This window comes from Homo sapiens, chromosome 5, assembly GCF_000001405.40.
Source record: "Homo sapiens chromosome 5, GRCh38.p14 Primary Assembly".
NCBI classification, from domain to species: domain Eukaryota; kingdom Metazoa; phylum Chordata; class Mammalia; order Primates; family Hominidae; genus Homo; species Homo sapiens.
The window spans coordinates 81,487,989-81,514,490 of NC_000005.10; the positions used below are offsets into that span (position 1 = coordinate 81,487,989).

The 26,502-nt window shown below is 35.0% G+C and overlaps 1 protein-coding gene across 91 annotated transcripts in view, besides 1 other annotated feature; it reads right to left on the reverse strand.

Annotated features, from left to right (window-relative positions):
• Positions 1 to 26,502, reverse strand: part of SSBP2 (single stranded DNA binding protein 2) — a 339,004-nt gene that overhangs the window by 75,185 nt on the left and 237,317 nt on the right. For 69 of the 91 annotated variants that reach the window (NR_174563.1, NR_174539.1, NR_174553.1 and 66 more), the window contains 2 exons: positions 25,640 to 25,729; positions 1,262 to 1,321 (listed from right to left, as the gene is read on the reverse strand). The exons of 3 other annotated variants lie outside the window; for them this stretch is intronic. Coding sequence is in view for 50 of the 88 variants with exons in the window: in NM_001400351.1 (NP_001387280.1) it covers positions 1,262 to 1,321; positions 25,640 to 25,729 (150 nt within the window). In the remaining 38 variants the exon portion in view is untranslated. The remainder of the gene's footprint in view (positions 1 to 1,261; positions 1,322 to 25,639; positions 25,730 to 26,502) is intronic. 19 more of the 91 variants (NR_174533.1, NR_174543.1, NR_174532.1 and 16 more) reach the window with 2 other exon arrangements.
• Positions 19,099 to 19,248: a silencer, noted in NCBI's record as "silent region_16141". NCBI's record gives its function as "represses an Ori minimal core promoter by ATAC-STARR-seq in GM12878 lymphoblastoid cells {active_cell/tissue: GM12878}" and the evidence as "EXISTENCE:reporter gene assay evidence [ECO:0000049][PMID:35858748]".

The window sequence follows — 26,502 nt, forward strand, 5'->3', positions numbered from 1 at the left end:
CCTTCTTGTTTATGGCCAAATAATATATATATATATATATATATATATATATATATATATATATATATATAAATAAAATATCATATATTATATATATACACACACACACCACATTTTTTATATCCATTCATTCACCGATAAAGTTAGGTTTATTCCATATTTTGGCTATTTTGAGTAATGCTGTAATGAACATGGGAATGCAGATATTCCTTCAAGATACTGATTTCATTTCCTTTGAATATATACCTTGAAATGGGATTGCTGTATCGTATGGTAGTTCAATTTTTAATTTTTTGAAGAATCTCCATACTGTTTTCCATAATGGCTGTACCAAGTTACTTTCCCTGCAACAGTGTACAAAAGTTCCCTTTTCTTTACATACTTGGTAACACTTGTTATCTCTTGTCTTTTTGATAATAGCCATCCTTACAGCTGTGTGGTGATATCTCATTGTGATTTTGATTTGCATTTCCTTATGATTAGTGATATTGAGCACCTTTTCATACACTATACCTGTTGGCCATTTTTATATCTTCTTTGGAAAACACCAATTCAGGTCCTTTGCTATTTTTTTTATATTATACTTTAAGTTTTAGGGTACATGTGCACAACGTGCAGGTTTGTTACATATGTATACATGTGCCATGCTGGTGTGCTGCACCCATTAACTCATCATTTAGCATTAGGTATATCTCCTAATGCTATCCCTCCCCCCTCCCCCCACCCCACAACAGTCCCCAGTGTGTGATGTTCCCCTTCCTGTGTCCATGTGTTCTCACTGTTCAATTTTCACCTATGAGTGAGAACATGTGGTGTTAGGTTTTTTGTCTTTATTGCCGTTCTTTAAACGGGAGGATAATCAGCATTTACCAAAATTACACAAGTTTTTAAATTAGGTTCGAAGTATAAGGTAGACTCCAAGAATGGGCAAACTTTTTTCTGTAAAGATCCAAATAGTAAATATTTTAGGGTTGCCGGCCACATATGGTCTCTGCCATGACCACTTAAATCTGTATTGTAGTGTAAAAGTAGTCACAGACAATACAGAAATAGATCTGTGTGGATGTTTTTCAATAAAACTTTATTTATAAAAAATAGCTAGCTTATGAGCTGTAGTTTGCCAACCCTTGAAGCAGACTAGAAATAGCATTAAATGGGACAGAAAAAGGAGAATTTCATATTTTTACAGGATGATAAATATATGTGACATTTTCAAGATCTTTGATTCTTACAAAAAACTTACATAGCACATAAATCTTACCTGATTAGGTATCCTCAATGGGGGCCTTGGACCTCCAGGGTACCGAGGTGACATAAAAGGCTATTGAAGTAAAACAAATAAACAAACAAAACAAAAAACAGTACAATGTAAAATACATATCTGAAAATAAACTACTTAAAAAATTTTAGAATTAATCAAATCACAAATCAATGTACTTTGAGGCTGCTTTCAGCATAATAAATGCTTTTAAGAAAAATTACCATCCCATTACTTATTTTGTAGAATATCTAGAAAATTTTCCAAAGAAAATGTAAAAACATAAAAGCTGGCTAAAGTAACTATAGCAAAATCTTTTAAAAATGTGAATTATTAAGGCAATAATATCTAGTGGCAAAAAATAAGGTAGAGAAGCAGGCAATTTAATCTTAAAAAGGACCTCTGGAGGCAGCTTACTGCCTATGTTATTACATTCTAAATAGATACTTTTGATGGAATTGTTTGGTTTGGTTATCAATTCCTTTAATAATTTTAAAATTGCCAAATTTCATCTTTTATAGCTTTGTTTAAAATGATAAATAAATTTCTTTTCCAAGGGTCATCTGTAGTCAAAAAAGCTCTGGCTTTTCCTCATCATGGGTTTCTTATAGTTCAAAACGGACTCTGTGGGTGTGGCGGCACACACCTATAGTCCCACCTACTCGGGAGGCTGAGGCCAAAGGACTGCTTGAGCTCAACAGTTAGAGGCTGTGGTGCATCATGACCATGCCTGTAAACAGCCACTGCACTCCAGGCTGGGCAACACAGTAACATTTCATTTCTTAAAAAAAAAAAAAAAAATTGACTACAAATTTTAAAGTTGAAATTTCTTTGCATATTTTGACCCTAGCTGATTATGAAGCGTATATTTTTAACAAAAGAAAAAAATGATCTTATATTAAAAGTCAAGTTAATTTATGTTGCTGGATGAGTCAGAGGCTCCTAAGATGTACTGAATCTGTCAGTCTGGAAATTGTCTGAAAAGTATCCTAAAAGCAACATTTTAGTGAAATGTTTAGGTAAGGTAAAAAGAGACTATTTTTGATCATCCAGACTTAGGCACCAAAATTTTATAAGTTTATTAAATTATTTAAAATTTGATTTTTTATTTATTTTTCTAGAAACAACAGAAAAATTATAATTTTGTTTAATTACATCTCAACATATAATTACTTAAACGTAAGATGTTTCTTACATGTAATATAAGCAAATATCAAATCTAACGGGTTGAATGTTATTAAGATATTAAGAATTAATTAATATGAATTAAGAAGTAATATACAGCAAGTAGACAAAGGTTTGGGGAAATCATTGACAGTGCATTACAGAATTAAATCCTACATGTAGAATGTATTTTCTACAAATATTTTTAGAAATTAGGCTTGGAGGACATGGCTACTCAGGTTTTCCAGAGCTGTTTTAAAAGGAGCCTCTAAAAAATAAAATCCTAATTAATGCTGTATAGATTTTTCCTGTAGTATCTTTTGCAGAGTCTGACAAACCAACAAAAGGAGCTTCACAATTAAGTGAGCAATTTGGCTTTTTGTTCACTGTGTTCTTATATGTAAAAGTGCTTCCAGCAGTTCATTTTATATGGACAGAAACAGTAGATTAGTCAGGTAGTATTGTCACCTCCAGCTGATAAAACTTAAGTAGATTTTCCAATTTTAACAAAGTTGATTTTAAAAACGTTTAGTTTTCACATATTTGATTAAAGTTGTCTCTCATTTATCATTTTGAAACTCTACCATAAATTGGATAAGTTAGTTATGTACTGTCAACTAGAAGCTTATTCTAATATTCACACTCTCTCTGTTATTTTCTCTTTCCTTTATAAATCACCTAATTTCACCTATGAAGCTGTCTTTTTAATTCTGGACTAATTTAAAAAATTTAATAAATATTGTGTCATTGGTTTTATAATGGCTGTCTTTTACAAAATGATGTTTTATGACATAGTCATTAATTCAAAATATAGTATCAATTTAGTTTTTGAAACATGGAGACATAAAAATAGGTTACTAATAATTTTTGTCTGTAATACAACCACTTTGAAGTAGAATACAAGGTAAAATTATGTGAAAAATATTACTAAATACCAAATGTTGAGATAAATATTTAGAAGTGCCTCACTTGAAACAGAAGAACACTTGAGATCTGCGTGTTGATCTGAATGTAAGAAGATGATACAGTGTTTATTTAGTGGTATATGTAAAAGGAGAATTTTTTTTCCCCAAATGGATGGCATTGTGAATGAGTGTATGTTAATGGAACTGTCTATACCCTCCTACCTGACTGAGGCCCTGTGAAGGAGCTGCTGTGAGGGAGGGTCAGTGTATGTGCTAGCTGGGAACCTGCAGGTTACTACAAAATGAGATCAAGAGAAAGAGACAGATTCTGTTTTTAGTCAATTTATTACTCTTATATGTCCTCCTTTAAGTTCAAATTTGTATGTTTTTTTGGAGGCCAAAAAAAAAGAAATAGAAAACCACTTATAAACTCTAATCTTCACACAATTAAAGCACAAAAAGACAAAACAATCGGTTAATATAGCTAAAAACTACTACTTTTACCTGAAATATAAGATTACTATGGTTAAAGTATTTTTAACACAAAATTAGTGCTGTTATAACATGGCTTAGTATTCAGATTGATCCTTCCCTTATGTTATCTAGATAACCACCTAAGTCCTCAACTGCCTAGTGAATTAGCTTGCGTAGACACAGCAACAGAATCTAAAAGCGTTTGCATACTAGCAACTGAGAATAATCTGCACTAGTATCTGTACTTCACTATTCAGAAGTCAATTTGCTTTCAAATGAAATTCAAAATGTTAACCCCAATTTTAATTATTTTATGGTAAAATGCTAATCTGTCCAAGAGATTATGCTAATATAAATTATATCTATTGACAGACATGTCAGTATTCCCTGCTTTAGCAATCTGAGAAGAATAGGTTCTTCAAGAGTCTTTGGGCTGGGCGAGGTGGCTCATGCCTGTAATCCCAGCACTTTGGGAGGCCGAGGTGGGCAGACCACTTGAGGCCAGGAGTTTGAGACCAGCCTGGGCAACATGACGAAACCCCATCTCTACTAAAAATACAAAAAATTAGCTGGGCTTGGTGGCACACGCCTGTAATCCCAGCTACTTGGGAGGCTGAGGGAGGAGAATCGCTTGAACCCAGGAGGCGGAGGTTGCAGTGAACGGAGATCACGCCACTGCACTTCAGCCTGGGTGACAGAGCAAGACTCTTTCTCAAAACAAAACGAAACAAAAAAACAGGCAGAAAAGAGTGTTTGGCTCTTAAAATGTGTTTACTCTTTATGTTTGGGGCAACATTCTTTTTTTTTTTTAAGTTTGAGTAACAAATACTTGTTTGAAGGTATCATGATGGTGAATCAGTGTTTTAACTGGAAAAAAGCCTTCCCCAGAAAGGATTATTTGTAATGTGTGTGGAAATAACATTTGACTGGGAGTCAAAGACCTGGGTTTTAGTTTCTGTACCTCTATTAATTAGCAGTGTCCCTGAGCTAATCATCTTTCAGGGCTTTAGTTTTCTCAACCTTAAAATGAGAGAGTTAAACCAGGTGACTTCTAAAGTCCCTTTTAAAATAAGGAACCAATGATTCTGTGTTAATTATTTTTAGTATTACATTTAAATATAAAGATTAGTATAATGTAGATAGCTATAAATATTTGAAGTGTGTGTGGGTGAGGCAGGGAGTGGGGATAAAGGCATATGTTCCTAAGGCACAAACCATTTTCATCAAGGAGCTAAAGAAAATTATTACCATGCTTCATAGAGAAAAAGAAAAACCTAAAGATTAAATATCCCACAACACAACAGTCCTCTTTGTTGTGTCAGATTAAAGGTCAATTAGGAGAATAAAAAAGCTACACTTAACAATGAGAAAGTATGGTAGAAATTTGTTCATTCAAAAACATATATATATATTCAAAAACATATATATATCAAAAACATATATATATTTGAATGAACAAAACAGATAGATAGATAGATAGATAGATAGATAGATAGATAGATAGATAGATAGATTAACAGGGTCTTGCTCCATTGTCCAGGCTGGAGTGCAGTGCCATGATCATGGCTCCCTGCAGCCTCAACCTCCCAGGCTCAAGTAATCCTTCCACCTCAGCCTCCTGAGTAGCTGGGACTACAGGTGTGGTACACAACACCACACCTGGGTATTAAAAAAAAAAATTGCAGGCCGGACGTGGTGACTCACACCTGTAATCCCAACACTTTGGGAGGCCAAGGTGGGCGGATCATGACGTCAGCAGTTCAAGGCCATCCTGGCCAACATAGTGAAACCCTATCTCTAGTAAAAAATACAAAAAATTAGCCAGATGTGGTGGCATGTGCCTGTAGTCCCAGCTACTTGGGAGGCTGAGGCAGGAGAATTGCTTGAACCTGGGAGGCCGGGGTTGCAGTGAGCCAAGACCATGCCATTGCATTCCAGCCTGGGTGGCAGGGTGAGACTCCATCTCAAAAAAAAAAATAAAATAAAATTGTAGAGATGGGTGCTCGCTCTGCTGCCCAGGCTGGTCTCAAACTCCTGGGCTCAAGTGATTATCCTGCCTTGACTTCCCAAAGTGCTGGAATTACAGGTATGAACCATCATGTCCTGCTCATCAAATATTTATTAAACACCCACAAAGGCACTGTTCTAAGTGGCTAGATATATCAGTGAACAAGGAAGATAAAAATGACTACCCGCTGATTAGGATTTTTCAAGGTTCACAGTCTTGTAATTAATAGGAGAAACAATTTCTATAAAAATTCTTTTCTACATCAGTCCACTAATCTGAGACAAATAGAATGTTCTCTTCACCAAATGGCGAGTATCAATGAAAACCCAGGGAAAATAATATTTCAATCTGTTGTCTTTCCTCAAAAGTCATATTACATCATCCCTATTTGATAGAACATGTAGTGCTATGAATACTGAAGATCAAGGCTATGCTTTTAAAAAAGTTTCAAAATTAGGAAAAACTCATAAGGTAAGCTTATTTACTTTATAAGAGAAACTGGGTAGCATAGTTAGTACTCTGACATACGGAAACTACATTTATAGGTATAAATTCTCATTTCTACATGTTCTAGTGATCTGTGTATGCTACGGACTGAATGTTTATGTCTGCATAAAATTCATATATTGAAATCCTAATCTCCAATGTGATGGTATTTGGAGGTGGGACCTTTGAGAAGTAATTAAGTCATGAGGGTGGAGCCTTCATGAATGGGATTAGTACGCCTATAAAAAGAGGCACAAGAGAGATGATCTCTTTCCTTCTGCCATGTGAGCATTATGGCCATCTGCAAGCCAGGAGGAGGGTCCTCTCCAGGAGTCAAATTGGCTGGCACCTTGATCTTGGACTTCCCAGCCTTCAGAACTCCAAAGAATAAATTTCTGTTGATTAAACTTCCTCATCTATGGCATTTTATTATAGCAGCCCAAACTAAAACAGTCTAAAATAAATGGAATAACCCAAAGTAGAAGAAATAAAAGTATATACAAGCCAAGAAAATCAATAAATATTTGGTGACAAAATGAAAAAAAAATACTCTAATAGAAACGCAAACCAAATGTTCACCTCATTTTCTCCAAGTAGTCTTTTGGAGAAAAAATTACACCACTTAGAATCATAATTTACTTCAGAATGAATGCCATTATGTTTTAAATAATTATTTTTCTATTATATCAAGAATTATTCATGGAATTTTAGACTTCTAGTTTCCTAAAAGAGAGATTTTCCTTTATTTCTTGTCCTTTCTGCTAGCACAAAAGCAGTAGTTTCCCCTCCCCTTATTTTGATCTTTCATAAGCCCTTAGCTTTTTATCTCAATTCCCTAAGAATTAGAAGGAACCAGCTCTTTCTTCATATTAGCTAAAGGTAGATCCCTCAGTCGAAGTCTTTTCTTTTTGAAGGTCCCAGGCCCCTTAATGAAACTGTTTTATAAATTATTTACCTGAAATTACTGGTGATACAAACTATTTTAAGCCCTAACTGCCTTGAAGACATATATGATAAAACTGTACATCTTAAATGACACATTGCTCAAATGTTAATTTTGTTAATATTTTCTAACATTGTCAATAGAATCTAAAAATTCCATATAAATATGATTCCCCAACACCAGAATATTCTCTGTTCCTGAAGATTACGCTGTACTCGCTTTTCTCTGCCAAGTAAATTAATTCCCCAAGGGCCAGTTTTGAAACACTGCTTTCTCTTTAAAGAATTTCTATAGGCTCCATTTCCCCTACTTCATCAGCACTTTATTTATACCACTTATCATAGAGGATTTAGTACACTGTGGTATAACATACTCCGATATGAAGGAACTGTACTTTAGAGGAAAGAATACAAAATACTATCAGAGCAACAACTATCTTAATGTCAAGATAATTAATTCTTAAAATAAGGCCAGCATTTCTTAGAATACCTAAAATTGATGTAGCAATATATAAGTCACCTTATATCTCATTATATCTTACCTTATATCTCATTATATCTCAACTTGTATCTCATTATATCTCATCTTGGCTTTAAAAGTTCTTTAAATCTTAGTTTTTCAGTATAAATTAATAATAAAGAAAATTAAAAATCATTAAAAAGTAAAAAAAACCCTCTAAAATGTCAATTGCTAAGCATTTTCTATATTCTATCTTTTATTTTATGAGCACAATTTAGAACAATCAATGATGAAGAAAAGAATAACAATAATTTCCTTAGAATGAACGAATTAACATTTAGGACAGTTTACATGTCAGAAAACTTAGAAGTCTGAGGTACAGTTCTAAAACGCACAATTATACAGGACTTATGTAATTTAAAGTAACTTTGGACTTTTTTGAGGATAAAATTATTCATGTGAAAGTAGCTTCCAAATTTGAAAACCTAGAAGTTTTAAAACTTTTTTTTTTTGAGACGGAGTCTCACTCTGTTGCCCAAGCTGAAGTGCAGTGGCGCGATCTCGGCTCACTGCAACCTCCGCCTCCTGAGTTCAAGTGATTCTCCTGCCTCAGTCTCCTGAGTAGCTGGGACTACAGGCATGTGCCACCACGCCTGGCTAATTTTTGTATTTTTAGTAGAGACAAGGTTTCACCATGTTGGCCAGGTTGGTCTCGAACTCCTGACCTTAGGTGATCCGCCTGCCTAGGCCTCCCAAAGTACTGGGATTACAGGTGTGAGCCACAGCACCCGGCCAGAACTTTTTAAATGACTGTAAGAAATATATAATTACCAGGTTTAAGAAAATATAAACTTACAAAATAATTTAGCAAGTGATCATTTACTTAACAAAGACTTCTTACTTCACAAAATTGCTCACTTGAAGTTTTGCAAGTTCTGTGTTATACATATATAATAAAATATTACTTATGCAATGTTATTTGAATATGCCTTTTAGAAACATGTTCAAGAAGGAAGTTTAACTTTTTAAAGTTTACTACATCCTCCTCATTTTATGTAAAAGAAAACCGAAGACCAAATTTCTTAACTGCCATTTTAGTCTTCTTTTCTTTGTAACACCCTGCCATAGGAATACCTTTAGAATAACGGCAGATACACACACTTATGTACCAGGCTCATTTTATGGTCAGTTGGTCACAAAAAGCGTATGGTACATAAATAAATTGTTTGATGTGGCACTTTCTCTCAGGCCCTCAGCAACTGTGCAACCATTTATTAAATACTTAATGTGGAGTTCTTTAGTTACCACTCAAACATGAAAGGTGAAAATGTAGTGGTATTTCAGGTAGGCAAGCTAATTTGCACATAAAGCACCAATTAGCATGTGCTCTTGATTCACCAGACTAAAAAGAAATGTAACAACTGAAATAAAATAAATTTCAAAAGCTCTATCTCTCTTTTCTGGAACATTTTTGGTGGAGTTTTGACAATATATGTAGTCTTTAGTCCAATTATTTGTGTTTTTAAGGGAATAGTAGAGGATGGGTAGAGAATGGTGGTAAATGGGTACGGTATTAATTATCGTCATTATAACAAAGATGTTCATTATAATGTGGTTCATGAAGAATGGAAGAAAGCAGCTAGCACATTCGAAGACAGAATGTATGAAGCAAATGTTCAGTAAATATTTGGTTGCTTCAGTAGCTGGCCCATTGACCAAGTGATCACCAACCCTAATGGAAGACTAAAAGCCCGCAAAAGATATAATAAAGCTTGGTCCTCTTGTATAAAATCTCACCTGGACAATTTATTTGTCTTGTTAAAAATAGGCAGTATCCGTTGATGTGGTAAAGAGTAAATCAGACTATTGGTATAACATATCTGGTTGTCTAATGAGAAAATGCTTATAAAGTATGTCTAGAGGAAGAAATCCTGCTCGCTTAAATAGGATAAATTATATCTTCCAGAGGTCCTAAGTAAGAGTAAGTAAAAAACAAAGAGCTGGGGACCCCAAATATCCATACTAACAGTATACAAGAGAACTTATAATTTAGATGACTAATAAGGCCTTTCATTCTCTCCTGCTTTCAGGTTTCTCTTACTGTTTCTGGGTGACAGGGTTGAAAATAATGAGTCTTAGGTAGTTTTACAGAATTGCAGTATTTAGTAAACATGATTTGGCACAAAAGGATATCAGGTTAATTTATATACAATTTTGGAAGAAAAGTGTGGTAACTTACTGATCTTTTTCTGAAGCATACACCAGTCACAAGAACTGCTAACAATTCTATATAGCAGTTTGCCTCTCAGGTGTGTCTTATATAAGGCCATGTTTATAACTGGGAACCTAACGTTTTAGGTTGAAATATATTTTAGAAACTATAATATTCAGGTCTCAGAAACAACATATTTTAGTTGAAATATTTTCTTTCCATTAAGAAAAGGCTCAGCATTTGAGTAAAAACATAAAACATTCTGCTTTCTTAATATCATATTGTCTTTAGCACATAACCATCTTTAGATTAAAAACCTGTAAGAAAATGGTTATTTGCCAAAAAGTAATTTTCTTTACTCAACGTTTAGGTAAAAACACAAGGTACAAAGTGAAATACAGCCTGGAAAAATATGGGTTATCTTCAGTAATTATATTAACTACGTATATACCAAATCTATCTCACTTGGACCTGTGTAAACATGACTTTAGACATATTTATTCTTTCCTCTGATACTTTCTTTGCACTATTTGAAACAGTGTTGAATTCTGTTGAAGACAAAATTCCATGACATAAAAACTATTCTAGAATCTAAAACATAATTTTATAAAATGATAAAAATGACTGTAAAATTATTTATTCATAGTTCTGCAAAAGTAATAAAAATACATTTACTATAAGATTTAACCAAAAGCATAAACATTCTTTAAAAAAGTAGTACTTATTATTCATGATGTGCCCTTTTTTAGTTAATTTAATTATCTTTCCCGTATATAATTTTCTCTATATAGATTTCTATTCTGTATGTTGCTATTCTATATTTTACTTACAAGCAAATCATTTTTTAAACTTAAATGTGTTAACGCTCTTGAAGTCATGTGCTATCAATAAGTATTAAATAAATAATATTGAGAATATTACGTTGAAAAATCACTAGAGTATTGTGACATCCTTATTTCAGCCATCTTTAAGAATGTTCACATATTTTTATTTTTATAATTCCATGAGATACTTCATACATTTTCTGTAGAAAAGTAATGATGCATAAATTATACATCAAATGAATTTTGTCAAAGTTACTTTACAATTCATATATCTTAATTTGTTTAGTTTCCTTTCTGTTTTTCATGAACATCTCCATCAGACATTACTGACACCCCAGTGGATAAGACATTCCTGATTAACACATTTTAATTCCAACTAGTACTAAACTAATTTAGATCACAAGATGACATACTTATGCTGGCATATTCTGCTGATAAGCATAAGTATGCAGTTTATCTCCCATACATCTTAGATATTCTATCATCAACACTTAATTAAAATAACTCACATAAAATAACTGTAAAGCAATGACAGATCCAGTTTCCTTGATGCTATTTTGGCAAGGCTAACCCAATAGAGCAGAGTTACAAACAAGTTGATTCTTCTACATGAATTTAGTCTAAGCATCAATATTGGCCGCTGATATTATGAGCTTTTTCAAGAAGATGAGACTTTTCCTCAAGTCTTCATTACCAGGTACTCATTGGATAAAGGTGTGTAGCAACAGACAGTGGGATTGTGAATGGGAGACTAAGCTGTCTGCTGGTCTAATAAACTGTGAATGTTTTCATAATATTCTATAACAATTTTAAATAGTTTGTTTAAATCCATTTATATTCAGAAAAATTCGGTGTGAGGCAAGTATCTGGAGCTACTGTGCTCCTCTGCTGCCTCCTACTACTGATTAAAATGACAATGACAGATTAACCCATATTTAAAAAAATAACAGTTTGGGTAAGACAATAAAGATTTGAGATTTATAATTTAGGATAAAATATTAGGCTGACTTAATCAAAAAGATGCTAAAACAATAATTTTTAAAAATCACCTGAACTTTTCATTAAAGAATGCAAAAATATTCCTCTTGTCTCCCTTTTCTCTACTTTATATTCCTACTTTCATGTAAACTTGCTCCAGATGAAGTATGGAAGATAGGTACTTCAATTTATTTAAATGTAACACTGCAAAAAAGCATAGCGTTTTGTTCTTAAGTTTCTGATATCTTGATATGCTTGGGAAGTTTCTACTGATTAAGTGGTAGTCCTTTCAAATTCCCATGCAGAGATAACAGCATTTGTTAAAGAAACTGGCCTATGGGCTTGATCTTCTGATATAACTGGCTGGTTATATATGTTTTTACTTCTTTAGGAATGAAAAAATACTTGCATATTCATTTGGTTACTTATAGACATGAAGTTTATACTTAAAGCCACTCAACTCATATCTGAACTATGTAAGATGGTATTGAACTAGGTAAGATGTTTCTATAAAACATAACTTTTTTTTTTTGAGATGAAGTCTTGCTTTGTTGCCCAGGCTGGAGTACAGTGGCGCTATCTCGCCTCACTACAACCTCCGCCTCCCGGGTTCAAGCGATTCTCCTGCCTCAGCCTCCCAAGTAGCTGGGACTACAGGCACCCACCATCACGCCCAGCTAATTTTTGTATTTTTAGTAGAGACGGAGTTTCACCATATTGACCAAGCTGGTCTCGAACTCCTGACCTTGTGATCCTCCCGCTGTGGCATCTCAAAGTGCTGGAACGGAGTCTCACTCTGTCGCCAGGCTGGAGTACAGTGACACAATCTCGGCTCACTGCAACCTCCACTTCCTGGGTTCAAGTGATTCTCCTGCCTCAGTCTCCCGAGTAGCTGGGATTACAGGTGCGTGCCACCATGCCCAGCTAATTTTTGTATTTTTAGTAGAGACGGGATTTCACCATGTTGGCCAGGATGGTCTTGATCTCTTGACCTTGTGATCTGCCTGCCTCGGCCTCCCAAAGTACTGGGATTACAGGCGTCAGCCACTGTGCCCAGCCCAGATTTTCATATTTTATAGAACTGAGAAATTATTATTGCACCAAGAAGTCTGTTTTGAAACTAGAGCTTACTAATTTGACTAATGCTAAAAGTATAAATATAAGCAAAATGAGAATTCAAATTGCACAAATTAAAGTTATTTCTGAATCCCCATTTAAAATATACATCTTGAGGCCAGGCACGGTGGCTCATGCCTGTAATCCCAGCACTTTGGGAGGCAAAGGCAGGGAGATCACCTGAGATCAGGAGTTTGAAACCAGCCTGGCCAACATGGTGAAACCCCGTCTCTAGTAAAAATACAAAAATTAGCCGGGTGTGGTGGGCACCTGTAATTCTAGCTACTTGGGAGGCTGAGGCAGGAGAATTGCTTGAACCCGGGAGGCAGATGTTGTGGTGAGCTGAGATCGCACCACTGTACTCCAGCCTGGGTGACAGAGGGAGACTCCATCTCAAATATATATATATATATATATATATATATATATATATATATATATATATATATATATACACACACACACACATGCACATACACCCACACACATGCATACATTTTGAAATATATGCATCTTAAATACATATACACAATGGCTGATAAAAATTCAAATGGATGTCAAAGGTATTTGTGATGTCAGAGAGTATTTGTAGAATACAAAAATGACATAGAGAAGGTAGTATTCACATTTGCAGGCATTCCAAGTAATTAATTATACTTTACTCTTTTTTGATAAGCATCTTACTGTGCACAAAGGGTATTCAGTTACTCTATTCCCTGGTGTTGTTTCCTTTTCTTTCTTTCTTTTCTTTTTTTTTTTTTTTTTGAGATGGAGTCTCACTCTGTGGCCCAGGCTGGAGTGTAGTGGCGTGATCTGGGCTCACTGCAAGCTCCGCCTCTCGGGTTCACGCCATTCTCTCGCCTCAGCCTCCTGAGTAGCTGGGACTACAGGCGCCCACCACCACGCCCGGCTAATTTTGTTTTTGTATTTTTAGTAGAGACGGGGTTTCACCATGTTAGCCAGGATGGTCTCGATCTGACCTCGTGATCCTCCCGCCTTGGCCTCCCAAAGTGCTAAGATTACAGACGTGAGCCACTGCGCCCTGCCCCCTGGTGTTGTTTCTTGTACTGAAAATGGTACCCGATTGCTTGGGAGGATGGGAATAGCAGATACTCTTTTCCCATAGTTGCCAATAGGGCTGTTTTTTCTCTGTTCCTCAAAATAGTTTGTAAGAGCCAACATTTCACTCCTAGCAGCATTTCTCTGTCTTCCCTTGACTTCTCCCTCCACCTACTGCCTCATTTTTCACTTTCCTTTAAATCAAAACTCCTTGAGTTGGCCATACTCATTGCCTCCAATTTCTCTCCTCTCAGCTTAACCTAGATCCACTTTTATGAGGCTTTCACCCCCAGGACCACATTGAACAAGGCCACTAATGACTTCCTTGTTGTTAAATCCAATGGTCAACTGTGAGCCATTGACTAATTTGACCTATCAGCAGTATTGGACACAGCTGATCATTCTTCTCCTCCTCAAAGCATTTTCCTCATTTGGCTTCCAGCATACTTCCTTGCCTGGTTATCTTTCTGTCTCAAGGGCTGCTCTTTTTGGCTGGTTCCTCTTCATTTTCCTAATTTCTTAATGTTAGAGTGTCCTGGGATCCATCATTGCACAGCTTCTTGTTTCCATCTATGCTCACTATCTTGTTGATGTCATCCAGGCTCATAGCTTCAAATATATTCCAATCCATATGCTAGTGACTCTCAGAGTTCTCTCTCTAGCTCAAGCCTCAAACATAAAAGTCCAGCCTCTCACATCTTGTTCCCTACTCAAAACCTCTTGCATGTCTAACAGCCATCTCAATCTTAACAAGTTCACAATTAAGCTGATAATTCCATCTCACACCTCCTCTTGAAGTTTTATACACATCAGTAAACATCAACTCCATTCTTCCAGCTGCACAGGACAAAAGCCTTGGATTCATCCTTGACTTGTCTTTTTATCTTGCCAACACATATCCAAACTATCATCAAAATCTGTTGGATCAAAATTGACAAATGGCATCTAATTAAACGTAAGAGCTTCTGCACAGCAGAAGAAACTATCAAAAGAGTAAACAGACAACCTATAGAATGGGAGAAAATATTTGCAAACTATGCATCTGACAAAGGTCTAATATCCACCAGCATCTATTAATATAAGGCACTTATACAAGATTACAATGAAAAACAAACAACCCCATTAAAAAGTGGGCAAAGGACATAGACACTTTTCAGAAGACATACATGTGGCCAGCAAGCATATGAAAAAAAAGCTCATCACTGATCATTAGAGAAATGCAAGTCAAAACCACAATGAGATACCATCTCACACCAGTCAGAATGGCTATTATAAAAATGTCAAAAAACAACAGATGCAGCTGGGCGTGGTGGCTCATACCTGTAATTCCAGCACTTTTGGAGACTGAGGCAGGTGGATCATGAGGTCAGGAGATCAAGACCAACCTGGCCAACACAGTGAAACCCCATCTCTACTAAAAATACAAAAAATTAGCCGGGTGTGGTGGTGCATGCCTGTAATCCCAGCTACTCGGGAGGCTGAGGCAGGAGAATAGCTTGAACCCGGGAGGGGGAGGTTGCAATGAGCTGAGATCACGCCACTGCACTCCAGCCTGGGTGACAGAGCGAGACTCCATCTCAAAAAACAAAACAAAACAAAACAAAAAATGGATGCTGGCAAGGTTGCAGAGAAAAAGGAACACTTACACCCTGTTGGTGGGAGTGCAAATTAGTGCAATCATTGTGGAAAGCACTGTGGCAATTCCTCAAAGAGCTAAAAACAGAACTACTATTCAACTAGCAATCCTGTTACTGGGTACATACCCAAAGGAATATAAACTATTCTACCATAAAGACACATGTACTTGCATGTTCATAGCAGTACTATTCACAATAGCAAAAACATGGAATTAACCTAAATGCCCATTAATGACAGATTGGATAAAGAAAATGTGGTACATATATACCATGAAATACTATGCAGCCATTAAAAAGAAAGAATGAGATCATGTCTTTTGCAGGAACATGGATGGAGCTGGAGGCCATTATCCTTAGCAAACTAATGCAGAAACAGAAAAACAAATATCACATATTCTCCCTTATAAATGGGAGCTAAATGATGAGAACTCATGGACCCAAAGAGGGAAGAACAGATACTGGGGCCTACTTGAGGGTGGAAGGTGGGAGGAGGAAAAAGATCAGAAAAAAATAAATATTGGGTATCAGGCTTAGAACCTGGGTAACAAAAATCTGTACAACAAACCCCCGTGACACGAGTTTGCTTATATAACAAACCAGCACATGTACCCCTGAATCTAAAATAAAAGAAAAAACAAATCTGTTGGCTCTAGTATCAAAATATATAATCTAATTACTTCTCACCACTGCTACCTCCTTGGTGGTATAATAATCTCTTGTCAAAATTTTGCAATGACATGCAAACTGCTCTCCTTGTTTCCACACTTTCTTTTAACAGACTAATCTCCATGTGCAGCCAGAATGATGCTGTTAAAACCCTCCACTCAGAGGAAAATCCAAAGTCCCTACAATAACCTACAAGGTTCTTCTTGACTTGGATTTCTGTTATCTATGACTTCCTATCTCACAATTCTCCCCAGCTGATGCTCTACTTTATCTAGCCAGACTATCTTACTGTCCCTAAACAGTCATGCTTTGAACTGGAGGCCTTTGCACTTGTTTGTCCCTTAACCTAGAGCACTTTTCCCCCAGATATTACATGGTTTGTTCCCTCTCTTCCTTCAGGTCTTTACTCAAATACATCTTTTTGATGAGCCCTTTTCTGGCCACCCTATCCAAAACTTTTGCAATGCTGCCTAGTTTTCTTTTCTGTTTCATTTTTCTCCCTAGCCCTTATCACAACTAACATATCACATATTTTAAAATAGTTATTTATTTTGCTCAGTTTCCCTTAGTAGACTAAGTTCTATGAAGACAAGAATTTCTATTTATCTTGTTCACTGTAGTGACTCTGGTATGAATGGCAGGGGGGCAATATTTGTTGCTAAATATCATTGACAATCTTAGCTAGTGATCCTCAAATTTTAGTTTGTAAGACTTATCTGTTAAAAACAAAACAAACAACAAAACCATAACTAAAACTAAAGGATTTGTAGCCCCATACTCCCTACCCCCAAGAATTCTAGTCCCCTAAGAGTTGGGTGGCTCCCAGGACTCTCGTATTAGTATTCCACAGAACCCCCTTAGAGAAACGCTGGTCCTTACCCTTTGGATCTCTCATAGGCTACCTTTTATCACATTCATGTAGAACAGAAGTAGGCAAATTATGGCTCACAGGCCAAATGCTGCCCATCACCTGTTTTTTTTTGTAAGTGAAGTTTTACTGAAACACAGCCATGCTCTTTAATTTACATAATGTCTATGGTTGCTTTTATGCTACAACCCAGTTGAGTGGCTGTGAGAGACCGTGTGACCTGCAAAGCCTAAAATATTTTCTATCTGGCCTTTCACAGGAAAATTTTGTTGACCCCTGATATAGAACATAAGACAAATTGTTCCTGAACGCTACCTTGTAATAAGTTATTCTTTTAAAAAGCTAAAGTCTTTCTAATATATGCTTAAGACAAATCTATTCCCCCTAAATATGTAATTAATAGTATATTTAAATGCCTGTTCCTTATCTTTAATTCCCCAAAGAATGTGGAGCATTTTTGTTTCTGTAACCAACACTAAAATAAAAACTAAATTAAATTGTGTTATAAATAGCCTTTGCATATTTACAATTTCCTCTCTATATAAATTTTTTTTATCAAGAAATGTCAATAAAAACTACAGCACTCGGAAGAATTTTCAATAATATTTTCAAAAGAAAAACTATAATTTCAAATGATCTGAACAATAGCTAAGCTCTTATCTCAGATGTGATTTTAAACTATGATGCTTTATTGTTTCATACTAAATGTGTTGGACATCTTTGGCTTGCAGGAGTAGCATGAAAAGTGAAAGGAAAACCAAATACTGGTCTAGAATGACCAGCCTAAATTTCTCCTAAATACGCAGTTTGGCTAACAAATAAACAACAAAAAATTGGATTTCTAATAGGAAAGTGTTTCATTTGATTCTAACTGGAAAACCCAAGTAAAGACTCTGAATACCTGACACTCCCTTCTTTGCTCTCTGTCCATCCAGTTACTGCTGTAGGGTCTTTAGTTGCCTGAATTGCAATTTTTAAAAAAGCTTACTTAGTTATTCAAGCTGGGCAGTTTTAATTTGTTCTAATAGTTGAGGCCAGAAAAACTATTACCACAACTGCAGGACAGCATTATCAAAGCCAGCAGCTGTTAGGCACCTTTGTTTTTTTAGTTGCTTTTATCTTTATAACAGGGAAAGATCTGTTCTATTTTCAACATTTAGAATCTGTGTTCTTTAAAGATACAAAATTATATTTTTAAGAAAATTAAACTTAATTTTTATTTCTTGAGGTTTGATAAATAAGCCAACTTCCTCACCTCCACTATCTAAATCCTAGGTGTATTTAATTCTGAGAAATACTATTTCTAACGTCTGAATTTTTTTAAACTATATATATTAATGCTGTTAGATATTCTAGTCTAATAAATTAATTCTACTTCAGAGTTTCAGTACCCTACTCATTCAAACTAAGAAGGATATAACAAGTAATCTTTTGGTTCATTTATCTAAGATCTAAGATGGTATTTATAACTTCCTAAGAGGGAAAGGGAGTTTCTCCTGGCTTAGAGTACTTTCTGAGACTAATTTCTGAAACAACCATAGTCAAGAAAGATAAGAGGAAAGGCAAACCACTGGAAGTGAAGGTAATGCCAAGACTAATAACAGAAGGAAATTGAGAGGGCATGTAGATTATTTAACTATATGTATATAAACGGCTGGATTTAGGAAGTCTGAATAGGAATAGCAGAGTAGATGAATATAGATACTAAGGTATCTTCAAAATGCAGAATTTATTTCCAGAAATAAACATCTATCTCCCAAAAACATTTAACCAGGACTTATAAAACCATATATTATTGGTTTTCTTTTTTAGTTTTGAGTGTCATATTAAATAATTATTTTTCTCATTTTTGATTTTTTCTTTTAAAATATCAAAAATATTATACACTTTGAGCTTTTTGTCCTTGTTGCTTTATGAATGTTGTTTATATGGAGCCTTCCTTAGTCAATAACACCACCATGGAGAAAAGAGGAAATTTCTTACTATTTTTTTTTCTTATTGCGTTATTACTATGTCAAAGCATTAGGTCAGCTTGCTACAGTGCAGCCTTGCTAAAAATAGAAAGTCTAGAAAAAGGCCCTGAACAAGTGGAGCCATCTGCAAACTACCACTAGATGGCAAGGCAGCTTTACCACTACCAATCTTAGGCCTGCAAACCAAATGTGACTTAAAACCTGCTGTCACATATTTTCTACTATATCAGAGTTTCATTCTACTTAGATTTTAAAGTATGAATGATCACCTTGGTCTGAAACTAAATTACTTGGTATCCTTTTTCATTAACATGTATTTATAATCTTATCCACGTCAAAGTCTTAAATTTACAACCCAACATCAACATATTATCAGTTTTCAACAGTTTCATCTAATAAAACTAAAGATCTAGTGACTAAAATATAGTAAATATATCAAGATAAAAATCAAAATACATGATAAAAGAAAACAAAGGTCTATATAGAGTTCAAAATTAGATATTAACAGGTATATCCCAGATTAGTTACAGAATCAAAGATATTATCCACATTAGCACCTATTAAAAGATTACGTTGTGTTTTTATATAAAGGATATGAATGTATTTGGTTATTAGAGTGATAAGGAAGTTATAGTTTCCTTCTTAAAAGCTTTCTTGTGGTAAAGAACATAAAGTAGGAAAAAGCATTTTTACCCTTCTCGATATTTTTTTGGTTAAAATAAGAAACGTCCATTGCATTAATGTTCTATAAGTTATAGAAATTCACAAGAGAAGCTTCCTTGTTACTTACTCATCCATAAAATTACAGAACTTTACAAGGTAACAGAGTTAATAATCTAATTTTTTAAACAAAAGAATTAGTACTTTTGTGTTATTTAGTGCATTTTATTAGTAGTAAATTATTTTGATCATTATACATAAGTGAGAAGAAAATCCACTTGGTCTAAGGAATGCTGCTGCCTATTTATATTGCAGGAATCAAAGTCCTTTGCCTGTCCTTTTGTATGAATGCCACAAGAATGAATAAATAGCATATCGATGCTTTTAATACATAACTCAAATTTCTTAGCATACAATGAAATCTTTGAATAAGACAGAGATATAAAAGAGTAAAACTCAGTTCTGGGTACCTACAATGGATGTGTATTCACACCATACCAAGATACTGTACTTTATTCTACAAAAACTGCCAAACTTTTAGTTAGATCAATGGCCATGTCTACTCTCTTCCCTCTGGATCCCAAGCAGCAAGACTTCCCAATTTAAGAAAGCTGCTCTAAAGTCATTCATCAGTTCCATAGTGTCACTCTGAGGACTTATAGGGTTTCTTATACAAATTACTCATTTGAAAACAGACTCCAAGTAAATAACTACATGTCATACTTTAAATGGCTTTATTTTATTAAATTTATACCTCCTTTTGCATGTCCGACTAGTCTTACTGATTTTACTTAATTGGTTTCCTGCTCAGCAACAGAGGCTCTCTCATTTCAATAAAAACATCAAAGTTTAAGTATGAACAATGTCACAAATAGAAAGACACTAAAGACTGCCTTCCAGAATGGATTTATTAAGTGTACCAAGTTATATCATAATTATTTATTTTAGACTTTAATTCATTGCTATTTTTCAAATGTAGTTGTTATGTATTCACAAGTTCAGTTTGTGATCATTCCACTTGGTAATGAATTTAAGTCTATACTTATCATGGAAGAGGGAGCTTGTTCTGTAACATAAACAGGAAAAAAAGGAGTATGTTTGTCTATTTAGGAGAAATGTTTCAATGTATTTTTTAGAGTATGATCACAAAGTAAGTAGAGCTCAGAAATACTTAGGCGGGGACTTCATTTGCTAATTATAAATTATTCTTCTTTACTTTTACTTATTCACTAATTCTAATAGGCTAAATTCTTTTTCGGTCTAGTCCATTCAAGCTATCTCAAAATAAGCTTTGCATTTACTAAGAATATAAGTTTAAAATATTATCATTATCTAAAAGTCAAAGGCAATAGGAGGTAACCACCCTTCAGAATTTAGTAGTTGCAACCAGGAGAGGCTGGAAAAACTATTTAGCACCCTTTTGACTAAGTCTCTTTTGAACCAGGAATTCCCTAATATCCAAGTCTGGCTTTTTGGAGAATCTGAGTCTTTATCCTAGCCAGCCTTCTGGGCCTTGTTACTTTAAGGAGCCACATCAGCTCTTTTCCAGTTGCTTCCATTCCTCCTTGCCTTGTACTGAACTAATAATCAGGATTGTGCCTGATCTTGGGTATTAGAGTTTATGAACTGTGAACTGATACTCCAACACAGGTTCTCCAGATTTGGATCATTCTTGAAGGTCAACATCTCTTTGGAACTAGATTAGAAACTGGGGTGTGAACTTGAATTATGATTGTCTGCTGCTATTTCTACCCATGGAAAGCAGCTACTCCTCATTAACTATATGTATTTTGACATTATGACCAGAATCACACTAGTTCAGTAACTGCAGGAAACCAATGCTGATATTTAGGACACACTTGAGTCATTTGATCACATCATTATATGTACCAAAAGATAATAATATAATATGTCTTTTTTAAATTTTTGGTACTTTGAGTTTTTTAATATTTTAGAGAGTCATTTATAGGGAGACATATTTAAATGTTGAATAGAGGAAAAAAGTACTTGGGATTAGTTGAAATAGTCTGCCTAGATAAACAGAAATGACTTGTGTATCAAATTCAAATATATCTGAAAGTTTTTCAATCTCCTGTCTTTCATTACTCAGATAAAGACACTAAACTTATCCAGAGACCCAAAGTAGAAATCTCAGAATCATCCTTGATTCTTCTCTTTCTCTTCTACCTTAACTTTGGTTAATTAAGGCCTATCAAACATAACTATGAACTGTTTATTCCTTTCTAATTCTACTGCCACTGATCTTGAATCAGTTCAGAAAGTCTCTTCCTTAAGCTGCTATCATAGCCAACCTACTAACACTGCATCTGTAATGGGTTCTTCTTTTGTTCATCTTTTAAATATTAGTGTTTTTTGTAGTTCAGTTGTATATTCTCTTACCCTCTCATTCTGTACTTTCTCCCTGGACAATTCATCTACCCCTGTGGATTCAAGTACCCTTAAAATGATATGGCCCTGCAATTTTTATCTCTAGTTTAGATTACTGTCCTAGACCTCAAACCTAGGACAGGTCTATCAGCTTAACAGATATGTCTAATTGGAGGACTCATGGGAACCTCATCTGTCCCACCTCAAACCTATTCCCCATTTTGTGTTCTCTAGCTTAGAAAATGGTACCTACATCTGCCCAGATTAGAGCCAGAAACTAGAATTATTATCCTTGAATTCCCTTATTTTGCAATATCCTGCATTTATTTCTGTCTCTCAAATCTACTTCTTATCTCCCCATACTTACCATCCCACTATCTTAGTTAAGGCCACCATTAAATTTTACTTGGAGTAGGCTGGGCACAGTGGCTCACGCTTGTAATCCCAGCACTTTGGGAGGCCAAGGCGGGCAGATAATGAAGTCAGGAGTTCAAGACCAGTCTGACCAACAGGGGGAAACCCTGTCTCTACTAAAAATACAAAAATTAGCCGGGCGTGGTGGCACATGCCTGTAATCCCAGCTACTCAGGAGGCTGTGGCAGGAGACTCGCTTGAACCCAGAAGGCGGAGGTTGCGGTGAGCCGAGATCACGCCACTGCACTCAGCCTGGGCAACAACAGCGAAACTCCATCTCAAAAAAAAAAAAAATTCACTTGGAGTACTGTAAAAGACTCCTAAATTCTCTCCCTATCTTCAGACTTGTTCCTCTGCAATTCTGACTACACAATGGAGCTGGAGTGATTTTTCTAAAAATGCAAATATGAACATGTCTGTCTCCTGCTTAAAATCCTCCAGTAGTTTAGTACTGCCTTTAGGATCAAGTTCAAACTCTACTAACCTACAAGGCCCCTGCAGTCCCTCTCAAGCTTCATCACCAGCTACTCTCCCTTTAGCTAATTAAGCTCCAGTTTTTCTTGGTCTCTCTCTCTCTCCTTTTCCCTCTGGATCTCTGTAAATTATTTTCCCTCTTCCTAGAAATTTCTTCCCCTCTCTTCCTTTGCCTAAGTCATAACTCATCCTTAAATGCGAAATTGGATTTCATTTACTATTTTGACAATACTTTCCTAACTATGCACCTCCCAAGATTCGGTTTGGTGGCCTTCTGATTTGCTCTAAGAGCACACTACAGCCATTTTCTTTCTATGCTGTAATGGCCTCTTCTCTCATTCATCACATTGTAGGGCTTCTCGAGGGCAGGGATTTTGTATACAACTCTCTCACAGGTGCCTACCAGAGCCTGAATCCACCGTTTAGTATGAATTCAGGTCATTGCCCTTCCTAAAGATCTCTGATGGCTCCTACTGAATACTCAGGTTCTTAACATGTGCCATGCTATAGCATATCTTTTCAATTTTATGTCTTGGAACTCCTGCCTACCCTCCCCACTACCTTCTGTATGTATTACTCTGAACACCTCTGCACAGATCATTTTGATGCAGTCACGCTTTTGTTTATACTATTCTGACTTTCTGAAATGTAATTCCTCTGCTTATTTTGGTGGACAATGTTTTCCAATCTACTCTTATCTCCAACTCAGGCAGATTTAATGGCTCTCTCATCCAGGTCATCACAGAACTTTAAACTTTACTCTGTTACAACACATATTTCACTGTATTATAGTTATTTATTTTTAATAATGCCTCACGGGCTATACAATAAGCTTCAGGAAGGTACACACTACACCTGCTAGTTTTTAGATGCCTACTACAGTGCCTGGCATATAGTAGTACTCAAATATTTATCACATTGGAAAAACTAAAAGCTAACGGTTTCAATTACTCTTACCGAGACTTTGAGATAAAAGATAGGCAAACGGAGAACAGTTCATTCTACAAAATGTGGAAATGAAAAATGTATGGATTTATACATCTTGGCTTAACCCTAGAATGAAAGAATCTGGCTTCCTCCCCAAACTGCTCCCTCTTTTAAAAGTGCCTCTTAGAGACTTTCAGTAACTCTCAAATATATATTTTTCTGATTTACTCTGTTAACTCCTACCCATCTTTGGTAAGAGAAAGAAGGGAATGAGGAAAAAATAAAATGAACTGGAAATATTTCATGAATAACAATCAACTACGAGGCTTAAAAGATAAATTCAGTGGCAGAAGTCCAGACTACTTTGATTTGAATTCAAGCCCTGTAACTTTCTGACTTTGTGCAAATCACTTAGCTACCAATGCCTTGGTTTCTCTATCTGTACAGTGGGAATGATAATAATACATATTTTACATCTAGGGATATTGTGAGGATTAGAGTTTATATATGTAAAGCATTTAGAATGAAGCATGGCATGTAGTTAGCAGTTGTTAAGTGTAAGCTTTTATTTTCAATATCTTAAATGCTGGTGGTTTAATTAATAATCAAGAGTTACAGTCTATTCCTAGATTATAAGATAGGGCCCCCACGACAGAATGTGACTCTAAGAAGACTTTTCTAGACTACTTGGGTATTAATACAGAGTAGCTGAACAAATAAGCATGTCCTAAAGGACTAGAGTTGGATCTCTGCTTTAATTAAGACCTTTTATTCAACTGATACGGTTTGGAAAATTATTTATAATTTTATTTCTTTATTTTCACATTTATAAGTACATTGATGACCCTGCAATGATGGTGTGAATTTGAATTAGCTAACAAATGATTATGAAGAACTCTGAAAATACAAAATGGAAGTGACAAATTAGTTTATAAGTACCTAATGTAATTCATTAACAATACAGCATATTACCTTAGGTCCTGTAATGCCTTTCGACTCTAGTTCTTAGCTCCTAAGTTCTTAATTTTCTTAAACGGTATTATAAAATTAACTATAATTAATTTAAAAATGAATTTCGAAATTTATGTTGGTTTGAGTTAGAAAACTGTCAGATTTAAGAAGTGGATGCTGTGAAATTTTAAAAAGTTAAATACTGTATTGTCATTGTAAAATTGTTATCATCATTGCTAAAATAAGTGGTCTTGTTGAAATTTAAGAATACTCACATGTATTTGAAATCTGATCTTAAAATGTTATATAATATTAATAAAAATTCCAGCTTAAAAGCCCCAAAGATAATTCTCAAACATATTTTGATATAGCCTGTAATTCTTGATAAATTAATAAATTATAATTTAGTTATATTTTGAAATTACAGCCAAATCTTAATCATCTTGTCTATGCTTGTATAGTTAATATCCATCTCTTTCCAGAACCTCATATTTAGTCTGTTCTCCCACAAAATATTTACCACAGTTAATTTAATGGGCTAATTTGTATTTCTCAATTCCTTTTCTTTCTTAATTGAGCAACAAAATGACTAAGTAAATAAATACATAATCTAATAACAAATAAAACATAAGAAGAAAGGGATATAATAGATAACCCATCTGAATAATCAAGAGTTGGCTACACATTATTATTTACCTTAAAAATTAAAATAGCCTTATCTTCCTTCGTATCTTTAATAAAATCAAACAGGAGTTCCTATGCTTTAACATTCCTAGTCAGAGTTTCTCTGAGTACCTGAAAGAACCCTGGTGGTACAGGACCTACTGGCATGCCATCTCCTGGGGGAATGTTTCCTAGCACTGGACTGGGAGCTGCTGCAGCACTCTGCAAAGAATAAAGGAGAAACAAACCTATATCATTACAGAGAAGGCACAAAACCAAAGACTAATGATAATAGATTGCAGGACGGGATGCTCTTTCATGCCTGGGAACAAATACTGGTAATTTTCCCCATCCTAGAAGTAAACTGAGATACAACAGTTTAGTATATGACTGGTTAAATTAGTTGGTTTTAACAAATCTCTTTAAACTTTGTGAAGTCAAAGAACTTAAATAATGTGGTATATTTTGATGATATAGTAAATGCAAATAGTACTATGACAAAATAATAAAAGCTTTAGTAAATGCTTTATTTTAAGGCACAGGCATCTGAAATGGCAACATCAAAAACAAACAGGTGAATAAATAGGTAAAAAGTTTGAAGATGGTGGGGTGGATTGTAGGAGTTGACAAAAATAATTCTCCCTTTTTTTTTAAGATTATGCTTTTATGTCATAAACAAGTATAATTAAATTTCCTGCCTATAGGTGGCAACACTCATATTATTCACTTTCTGATATACTGTAACTGGTAGCCAAAGTATATAGGGTGGTGAGGACAAAAAAGTAAATAAGGGATTGAATAGGAGAAATAAATTAGATTTGGAGAGAATAGTCTCATACAAATTATGAAAAAAAAAATTGAAAAATTCAAAGTCTACTTCACTTGCAAATTATTTCATGGAATCCTGGTATTTCATAAAATAGGAGTATGAAAAACTTTGGGTTGGACTCTTTGTAATAAAATCAACATTATAGATTTAATACTTACATAGGGCA